Raw genomic sequence first — 11660 nt, 5'->3', positions numbered from 1 at the left:
GGTGTGAGGTGATAGCTCATTGTGGTTTTAATTTGCATTTCTCTGATGATAGCGACATTGAGCATTTTTTCATATATCAGTTGGCCATTCATATGTCTACTTTTGAGAACTGTCTGTTTATGTGTTCGTGTCCTTTGTCTTTTTTTTTTTTTTTTTTTTTTTTTTGCTTTGAGACGGAGTCTCCCTCTGTCACCTAGGCTGGAAGGAGTGTGTGTGGTGGCGTGATCTCGGCTTACTGCAAACTCCACGTCTCGGGTTCAAGCGATTCTCCTGCCTTGGCTTCCTGAGTAGCTGGGACTACAGGTGTATGCCTGGCTAATTTTTGTATTTTTAGTACAGACGGGGTTTTGCCATGTTGGTCAGGCTGGTCTTGTACTCCTGACCTCAGGTGATCCACCTGTCTCAGCCTCCCAAAGTGCTGGCATTACAGGTGTGAGCCACTGTGCCCGGCTCTTTGTCCATTTTTTAATCAGGTTATTTTTTTTTTCTTGCTATTGAGTTGACTTCCTTATATATTTTTGGATATTTGCCCCTTACAAGATATATGATTTGCAAATATTTACTTTTCTATTCCGTGGGTTGTCTCTTCACTCTGTTAATTATGTTCTTTGCTATGTAAAATATTTTTGAAATGAAATTCCATTTGTCTATTTTTGCTTTTTTTTTGCCTTTGCTTTTGAGGTTATAGCCAAGAAATCACTTCCCAGATAAATGTCATGAAGAATTTTCCCGTTTTATCCTAATAGTTTTACAATTTAAGGTCTTATGTTTAAGTCTTTAATCTATTTCAAGTAGATATTTGTATATGGTACAAGATGAGGATCTAACTTCACTTTTTATATGTGAATGTCCAGTTTTTCCAACACCATGTGTTTTGAAAAGACTGTCTTTCACCATTGTATATTTGTGACACCTTTGTGGAAAATTAATTGTCCATAAGTGTGTGGGTTTATATCTGGGCTTTTCATCCTATTCCATTGGCTAATGTGTTTGTATATAGAAAATCCTAAAGATTTCACCAAAAAAAAAAAAAACCTGTTAGAATGGATAAATAAATTCAATAAAGTTGCAGAATACAAAATCAACATACAAAAATCAGTGGGATTTCTATACAATAACAATTATTGAAAGCAGAAATCAAGAAAGCAATCTCAGTTACAATAGCATTAAAAAAATACAGGAGTAAATTTAACTAAAAAGGTTCAAGATCTGTATACTGAAAACTACGAAACATTAATGAAAGAAATTGAAAACGACAGAAATAGAAAGATATCCCATTCTCATAGATTGGAATAATTTAGTTAAAATGTCCAATACTACCCAAAGTTATTTACATATTCAATGCAATACTCATTAAAATTTCAATGTTATTTTTCACAGAAATAGAAAAACAATCCTAGAATTTGTATGGAACCACCATAGACCCCAATAGATAAAGCAGTCTAGAGAAAAATGAACAAAGCTGGAGGCACCACATGATCTGATTTTGAAATATACTACAAAGCTATAGTAATCAAAACAGCATGATACTAGCAAAAACCAGATATACATTATTCATTACATATTTTAAATGAATGAATTAATAAATGAAGACATTAAAGAGTGTGTAAGGAATAAATTTTCTGAGACTACACATTTCTAGTTTCTTATTTTTACTATTTACATATTACCTTTACATGATGGTTTGGTGAGCTGTGCTATCCTAGATTGAAAATGATTTTCTTTCTCAATTTTAAACTTACGAATTTTGCTCAACTGTTTTCTCACATCTGGTATTAATAATGGAGAAGGCTGATGTTATTTTATTTCTGTTTCTCTCTTGTTCTTTCAAGAAGTAGATTATTTTCTTTCTTTTAAATTTCATGATGGTATCTTGGTGTGGTTATTTTTATTATCTTTTTGTATATCTCATGGGCTCTTTCAAGTTATAGTGTTAGGTCCTTCAGTCTGAAAAAAAAATTCTTGTATTATTCAATACTTTTCCCTTTCTATTGGACTTCTAGGATTACTATTCTCATTTTCTTTTTCCTCATTTCTTCTTTTCCTCCCTTCCTTCCTTCCTTCCTTCCTTCCTTCCTTCCTTCCTTTCAGCTCTATTGCTCATTTGTCCTTTTCCTCTAATTTCCAGATTTGCTTGCTTTTGCCTTTTAAATCTTTGATTAAAAATTTTATCATATTTTTATCATATTTTTAATTTCAAGAATTCTTATTCTCAGGTTAGCTTATTTTCATGCATCCTATTCCTGTTTCATAGATGTAATGTCTTCTGTTATCTCTGAGGAATTTAATTATAGTTTTCTCACAAAGATTTATTCTCCTATCTGAATTTTTTGTTTTTTCTGAATACTATTTTATAGTTTGTTTTGTTTTGGTCTCTATCTTTCACATGGAAGTTTTTAACAAACATGTAATGCTAAGTTTGGCTATCCGTTCATATTTATTGCAAAACACTAAAGTATTGGTTGGAAATTGTGTGGATGGGCAATGCTTTTGATTAATGGTATACTCTAGAAAGATCAAGGAGTAAGTCAACCATGTGAGTAAGGATCTTCAGATGTCAGCGTGTGGGAATATTTTGCATGGAACTGTTCATTTCTTACATTTCTTCAGAGAAGAATCATCCAATCTGAAGCTTGGTTGGGAAGGTGGGAGTTGTATCAGCTAATTGCAGTATTCTACCAAAAATGTGGAATGAAGGTCTTACATGTCAGACTTCACATGCCCCCTTTTTTGAGACTTACACATCCAACTTGCCCCCATTGCACCTCACATTTGTGTTATTTACCCGAAATATAACCCCCCAGTCTTTTCTATGGAAGGGGTTGACAGATGGCTGCACATAAAGGGTATAGGGAGGACAAATGATCTATGTACATGCTTTCTATAAGCCACTTGTTTTTATTTGTGTAATCTACCCTTATGGACTGAAGTTCCTATAGTCTTTGAGAGCTGAGCCTTTCAGGGGTTTCTTCTTTTTAGGCTTACCCCTCTGTAGGTATATAGATTGCAAATCTCCTTTTTCCTTTTTTAAAATTTGCTAATATAGCTACCACTCCAGTATCCACATTTTTACAAAATTATTTTAAAATATTCATCTGTTATTACATTCTCTTCCATTTTCCTTGTCTTTGTAGGTAATTATTTTTTATTTTTTACTTGTTTACTTTTCTACATTTGATTTAATAGAGTTTTGGGACAGAGAGAAGTTAAATGCATGTGGTCAGGTGGCTATTCAAATGAAGTAGGTGAAACAAGGAGTGATCAATATATGTGGGACATCTGTTGTGTACTGAATGGGTTAAAATGTGTTGCAGAATCGGGAACTCGTTGCTGTCACTATGTATATGTGATTCACAACTATAGCCAGAAAGCTGTTTCTATGGTGAAGGTACTGTTAGCCACCAAAAAAAATAGGATCTGCTTTGGTTATTTGGATATGAGAATAGCACTCACAGATATTTGGCATTTAGGCAAAAAGACTGGCAAAAATGTTCTCTTCTTCCAAAATTTTTTCCAAAAAATCATGGAGAAACATTTGCTGTGATTTATGAAACAGTGAGGGGTTAAAGAGGGGGAGGAGTGATCAAATGCCAAAAAAAAAGAAGAACCCAAACCATGCCCCCACTGAAGAAAACTGTAAGGAAACTTCATTTTTTTAGCATGTTCTTGACATGTTTTAAAATGCTTTTAGAATCAAAAGTGGCATTAGAGTTCCTACAGTGGGTAGTTATTCTAGGGAAACAAATGAACACTAATCCATTAAATAGTTTTCGTGTAAATGTTAAGAGTAGTGAGTAGGGGCAGTATTACGTAGGCCTAGGAGAAAAGTGGTAGTTTGAGACTATAAAAAGATAAAAATTACAAGAAAATCTTACGGTAAATATGTTGCTTGCTTTAAATAATTTTTGATTGAATCAGGTCAAATACACTGTTGTTTATGTTTTAAAAATATTATAACTATTGCCAGAATACTGTCAGGAAGTGAAATTTGTCAGAAAGGGAGGCTAAATATTTCTTAACTGCATAGTTCAGAATTGGGAAGAGGCTGCCTCACTGAACCCACAGGCTTCATTAATAATCTTGTATTCTAATGTGTGAAAATTATTTATTGGTCTAGAATTTTAAAATTATTACATGTAATGCTTGTTATTTACTCATAATTAAACTTACCTTCTTATAAAGGAATATTTAGATCTTGTTTTTGTTATATTGTGTATGAATGGTTTTGTTATATTGTGTATGTATGTTTTGTATTTATGTGGGTGTGTGCACTTCATGCATTCCTAAGTTGTTGCCTGTACCGTTTAAATATGATGCTGATGCTGTATTTAATGGTGAATTTTAATTTTAGCTGAGAGTTCAGTATTTTTAAAGGAATTAATTAACACATTATTAGATAATTAGAAAAAAATTAAAAAAATAGATCTGTACCATGCTAAGTATAATCTAGCAAAATATATGTGTTTAAAAACAATCCTGGATTTTTTTTTAAGACAAGAGGGCAGTGAAGATATTTCCACACAATCTCTAGACAAAAAACTGTCTCTAGAAGAACAGCTCAGATTTAAACATGAGTATTATCAGAAAGGGACCGGCTTGGAACCTATGTAAATGTTCTTGGGGGTGGGAAGGGAGGAGAAAAACCCAGAAGGAAAGAGACATGGTAAACCAAAGACAAATGAAGACTAAACCAAGGACAACTGTGTCAAGAATAAAATGAAAGCTTATAAACACTTGTCCTTGAAAACCAAGAAATAAAAAAGAAGTCTGAGAAGTCTGTCTGAGAAGAAGAGATACAAAATCTCAAGAAAGGGACATAAGAGAAGAGGATGAAAATGGAGATAGTGATGCTTGTGAAGGATAAAAGTAATATCTCAACAGAAATACATTCACATTAGAGAGAGGGGTGGGAGGATATTCAATAGTTACCCCAGTGGAAGAGTAAAGGAACTTATCTGCAGCTCATTCTGATGGGGAAATCTCAAATGGCCCAAATTTAAATTTCTTGGTGGACTTGGATAGCCAAAGGGCTCCAAAGACTCTTCCCAGAACCTCTACTCCCAGGGCATTATTCTAACACTTAAGTAGAGCCTTAAAAAAGGTAGGTGGCATGGAGTGAAACTAGCTCATGTCAGTAGGAGATGAGTTAGAGCTTTGCTCAACAGATAGAAGAAAAAGGAAAAAGTGTTTTTAAGAGACTTAAATAAATAGAAGCAAAATGAGAAACTGTGATCTAAGTAAAAAGAACCCAGGAAGTTAAACTCTTCACAAGGGCCCATTGGTGATCCACTATGGGTCCTTGTGAAGAGTTTAACTTTCTGAGTTCTTTTGCTTTAACCTGGCTTTTCTTTGTGGTAACCAGTTTTTTTTAGCAGTTGGTTAGAAGCCCTTGTTTTTCCATTCTTTAGTATCTTCTTTAATTCTGTGTATGTCCAGCAGCAGTAGAGAGCCTGCCTTGATTAGTTGACTTCAGTCATTGGGATAAGGGAGAGTTTTTGGTATACTTTTTCTAAGACAAGGAAACCATCAAAGTTGCAGAGAGAGTCACATTTGAATGACATTGCCTTGATTTTAGATTTACTACCTTACAAGTGCTATCATTGCAGACCAGAATTCCTGTCTTAGGGATTCTGATGGCCAACATGGATCTAAGAGAGGGAAACCATTCCTATCTTCGTGTTCCAGTTGTACCTTGAGACTTACCTCACCAAATGACCTGTTTTATCCTTTTCTTCCTCACCAGCCTGTGAATTCCTCAAATAAGAAAATGGTGTTTTATTCATGTTTATAAACTTGAGGTGCAATGATTAGTTGGAAATTGCTAGTAAAGGAATAAAACAGAGAGCATCAGAAGAAATGCCCCATGAGTCTTTGCTCCCCTGTGGTGTGTAGGCAACAGAGTTTCCCAAATATGCTCAGTAGAAATACAGGAGACAACTGATTTGAAGGCCATGGGTCTGCCATGGAATTCTGTGGAAAGAAGTGAGTGAGGTGCCTCCATAGCAGCACATCCTCACCTGGAGTAAGAAAGAAAATATGGCTGACACTCAGAGAATCTGGAATTCCAACAAGTGACAGGATAGTGGCAAGTCAGTGAAGGATAATCACAGGACCCAACACTGAAAGAACATACCTCACTTTTTCTGGTTGCCCACTGTAGCAGTAGGTACAAGCAGCATTAAAAGACATGGAAGTTAAGCTAGTGAGGGCTCATAATAAAATTCAAGGTTTGCACATGGGCTAGTTATGACTAATCCTACTGCCATCTGGACACATTAGCCTTTTTGCCCTATTCCCTGAAGCCTTTATCCAAGAGAGACTTTTGTAGGAAAAGTGGCTGATATACATTTAACTGATAATTTTGGTACGTAATCTCCAGACTACCACCAAGATGGGTGCTTCAAAGCAGCCTGAGAACAGTAATGGTAAAAAAGCCATTCTGTCTTGTTTTGTATATTTGTATGCAGGGCACAAATTTTGACCTTGCTATATGTATGTTGAAGAGTTTAATATTAATAATCTGGTGACTTGGGCATATGTTAAACGATGTTTAATTTTTTTTAAGTAGACGGCAGTTAATACAATTATGCTCTGGAAGGCTGTGATTTTAAATCATGCATGCACACACACACACACACACACACACACACTTCTTATTCTTACCAAATAAACAAACTAAAGAACTTTTGGGATCTTTGAAAACCCATTTTCTATCACTATGATGAAACGTTGAAAGATTTAAATCTAACGGAGTGCCTGAAACATAGACATGTTGAATGTGAATCATAATTATTTACCAATTGTATAATTAAAATAATTGTTTTGGGGTATTAATAATAGAGGTAACTTTTGATTAATTGAGGTCACTAGATAGTCTTAGACCCTATGAGTAATGTCACTGAAGTAAAAGTGACAGTGGCAGTCTTTTCTCACTGGGTCCTCTGCTCAGATTGAATTCATTCTACTTTCTGCATCTCATAGATAACATCACTGAATATTGAAATTTGTTCATGAGGAAACCTATCTGCCAATGAAGGAAACTGGATAGCCATATCTGAAGTTTCAATCTTTTTAGAATCTGAATTTCCATAAGCCATTTGGAGAATATTTGGAGGAGATCTGATCTGATTTTTTTTTAAGAAGTTCACCTTGACTGCCACCTGAAGACTATAAGGGGAGCCCCAAGCCTGGATAAGAGTATCAAGAGTTGATGGTGAGATAGCTAAGGGTAAAGGCAGTGATGATAGGAAAAGCGATCCTATATTTTGGAGGAAGAGCTGATAAGACTTAGTTTGAGAGTGAATGGTGAGAGAAAAGAATGGATTAAGGACAGAGTTTAGAATTTTTCTTTAGCAGCTGTGGTGGGAGGGTGGAGAGTTAGATATTACTAAGAGAAATAAACAAGTTTGGGAGTAGGAATCAGGAAGTGTATTTTGCAAATGTTAAATATGAGATAGTTATAGATATTTAAGTAAAGATATCAATGAAGTAGGGAGTTACATATTTGAGTCTAGAATTCTAGGGAGAAGTGAGGACTGGAGATAAAGAAGCCACAGAACACTTCCAAATAATAAAACTAAGAAAGAACATTTATGTGCTGCTTACTAAATGTCACATAGTATTTTAAATATTGTACCTATATTTATTCATTTAATCCCCATAACAACCCTAAATTATTATACTTATTGTACAGATAAGAAAACTGAGGCACACAGTAGGTGGTGCTGAAATTTGAATACTTGTCAGTCTGACCACAAAGACTCTCACTACTCTAGAATTCTGAAAAATATTGTGATATTCGAGTGGCACATTGAGTAGCAAGAAGAGTGCAGTGGATATGCCAGGTACAAAGAAATCACTGTAGGTCCTGGTCTATTATTTGATTTTGAATTAAGAAAAAAACCTTGCATGCTTGACTATACAAAGGGTTTTCTGTTTTTTTTTTGTTTGTTTGTTTTTTTTTTTAAATGTTGGAATAAGTAGGTATACTTTATTGTCACTTGCCTCCACAAAGATTACTGTGGAGGTGGGAACATCTGAAAAAACAACTGTTGCTAAATCATATGTATTGTGAGAAGACAGCTTGTTCCAAGAAATCTGGCTTATACTATGTCAACACTTTTTAAACATGCTTCAAATAAGAAAAAAGGGAAAAGCATAAATAGCATAAGTTTGGCTTCAGGGTCTCAGAGTGGATTTTTGAGAAACTGGAACTTCAGGGCACAATCAAATGGACAACCATTCCTTTCTCTTCCAAATAAGTCTCATTTACTTATTTTATTTATTTTTTATTCACAGTAGATAGAACACACTGTACTCATTCAATTATTCTGTATCTATTAAACACCTGTTGTGCTAGAACTGCTTATAAAGAACTTACAGTTCAGTGTGTAGTAAATATTCAATGTCTCATTTATCAAATTGATTAATCATACAAATTGTATGATTAAGTAAATGCATTGGTCATACAGATCAAGGATCTTTAAGTAGTTTCAAAAAGGAGAGATGAGGTTAGCCCTTTTAAAAAATGTACTAACTCTAGTGATGTCAGAAGATTAATTATTTGATTATTTAAAAATGTTTAATTACCTATCTATCATCTATCTATATGTCTATCAAACAGGTTTTCCTGGAGAAGTAGTAGACTATAGGAATTTGCAGGTTAGATTGTGAAGAGTTTTGAAGCTGGTATGACAGAGACTGATCATTAGTCCCCAGGAATTATTCTCATCCTCTTCTACCTACTTAGAAAAGATGCACACACAATTTTAGCTGGGCCCAGGGCCTCCCAGCTAGAGAGTACATTCTTCAGCCTGTCTTGCAGCAAGGTAATCTATTAGGTTGGTGCAAAAGTCATCGCGGTTTTTGCCATTACTTTCAATGGGACCAACATAATAATTACTTTTGCCCCAGACTAATAGTTTGGGCCAGTTGGGTAGATCATAAATAACGGATGCCAGTTATGTCATCTTCTTAAAGGTAAAGCTACTTATCCTTGACTTCCTCCCTCCTACTCCTACTTCTGCTTGGAAATTGTGGCAATTAGAACAACCTTGAAAGCCATGTATTAAAGATGAAAATCCACCTCTCCAAATACAGATTGCTTGTATCTATACTGTTTATTACATGAGATAAATTCATGCATTGTATAACTGTTTGGTGTTGGCTTTTTCATTCCATATAATTCTCTGGAGATTCAATCAAGTTAGTGGGGGTGTCAATAGTTCATTTCTTTTTATTGCTGAATAATATTCTGTGATATGATTATATAATAGTTTGTTTAATCATTCACCCATTGAAGGACACCGGAGTTATTCCTAGTTTTTAGCTATTAGTAATAAAGAAGCTATGAATATATATGTACCATTTTTGTTGTGGGCAGATAAGTTTTCATTTCTGTGGGATAAATGCCCAAGAGTGCAATTGCTGGGTTGTGTGGTTAAGTGTATGCTCAGTTTTTAAAATAAATTATAAATCTGTTTTTCAGAGTGGTTGTACCTTTTACATCCCCACCAGCAGTATATGAGTGATTCAGTTTCTCCACATTATTGCTATTTTTGATATTATTACTATTTTTAATGTTAATCATTCTGATAGATGACTACTGATATTTCATTGTGGTTGTGATTCGCATTTTCCAAATGGCTAACAATGCAGAATATCTATTCACGTGTTTATTTGCCATCTGTATATGCTTTTTTGGTGAAACTTCTGTACATATTTTTGTCCATTTTTATTTTACATTTTTACTTTTTTAATTTACTCTGTTTTTTTCTACTGTTGAGTTTTGAGAATTATGTTAATATTCTAGATTTGACCTTAAAAGCATTACTCATAAAAGGAAAAGTTTCACTGGATCTAGTTTGGGTCAATCAAGTGGATTATAAATGACGGTCACTTCTATATCATCTTTTTTTTCTTTTCTTCTTCTTCTTCCTTTTTTTTTTTTGACAGAGTCACATTCTGTCGCCCAGGCTGGAGTGCAGTGGCGTGATTTCTGCTCACTGCAACCTCTGCCTCCCAGGTTCAAGGGATTCTCCTACCTCAGCCTCCTGAGTAGCTGGGATTACAGGTGCCTGGCACCATGCCCCGCTAATGTTTGCATTTTTAGTAGAGACGGGGTTTCACCACATTGGCCAGACTGGTCTTGAACTCCTGACCTCAGGTGATCCGCCTGCCTTGGCCTCCCAAAGTGCTGGGATTGCAGGCGTGAGCCACCATGCCTGGCCTTATGTCATCTTTTTAAAGACAAAGAGGCTTATCCTTGACTTCCTTTCTCTCATTCTTATAAGGAAGTAGCCAGGCATACAAAGTGATAAATAGAAAATGAGATTTTATACAAATGCAATTTTCATATTTTCTCTTCTTCAAACTCATTTATCTAATGGTCAGTTGTACCATTTTGAAAATGTAACTTTAGAATTTAGATACATTTTTCTCATAGGCAATGACAGAATCTTAAGGTAGGGGAGTAAAGGAGATGAAAAGGGCATTCAAGTTCGTGAAGTAGAATTGGTGGCAGAACTATAGTTTCACTTGTCATTTACTGTGGTGCACAAATACACAAAATTAGGAACTTTCTTTGGCTGATAATTGTTTTGACCGTGAAATAAAAGTCACTTCTATATCAAATGGCTTATCTAAATGTTCTTTCAACTTGAAAGCATCGTCAATGGGGATCTTCTATAAATAGATCTTACTTGCAATCTATATACTATTACTGAAATATATGCTTTCTTCAAATGGGAATATTTGATCCTAGGGCATTTTAGAATCTTCTTACAGAATAAAGGCAGAAACATATTTAAGCAGAGGAAATGAAATATCCAATCACAGACAGGCCTTTGACAATTTTCCAAGTCATGGTTGTTGTTTTTTTAGATTAAATCATCTTAATTCATTTTGATTTTTTCATTTATATTAATTACATTACTCTCTGAATCATGCATACATATTCATTTTCCCTTTGACCTGTAATATGAAATTACCCATAGAGATCAAGTAAAGACTTGACCTATAAAAGACAGAAATAGCAGGGCCCTTAATGATAGCTTCCTAGGTGTATAATAACCAAGAATCTACTCAACTGTTGCCTCATGAGAAAGGTACTAGGACTAGGGGTATACGTATACAGGTCACCTGTTTTGATATGTTATGTGGTGAAATAGTTGATGTAGGCTTTCAGCAGCCCCAGTTGGCTTGCTTCTATTAACCTTGTAGTCAAAGATGGCAATACTAATTAGTTAGTTATTTTAGATCATCAAGTTATTTCCTATTTTCTTACCAGTTTTTGCTCATTGGATAAAATACATAATGATAATCCATAGAAATTGAGAACTTTAGGACATCCTTTAGAAGGGAAATATGGCTGAATGTCTCCATTTTAGAAATGAAAAAATCAAGACCTAGAGAAGTTTAATTTAAAGACCTAGAGAAACTGTATTTCACCCATTATATAAGATACACATTGTTTTTTCACATGTTAACTTCTCTAAAACCAGGGTGTTTCCTACAATCAATAGTATCTTACATTGGCTGTTGGCCAGGTAGTGATTGTGATGTTGTTGCCTGGTATGTATGAACTTTGTTGCAATTGGACAGCTACATGAACTTGGTGGCATTACTGGATGTTTGTAACTTCACATATCATTCAACAAACT

Source organism: Homo sapiens, chromosome 1, assembly GCF_000001405.40.
Source record: "Homo sapiens chromosome 1, GRCh38.p14 Primary Assembly".
NCBI classification, from domain to species: Eukaryota; Metazoa; Chordata; class Mammalia; order Primates; family Hominidae; genus Homo; species Homo sapiens.
This window is presented reverse-complemented; position numbering follows the sequence as displayed.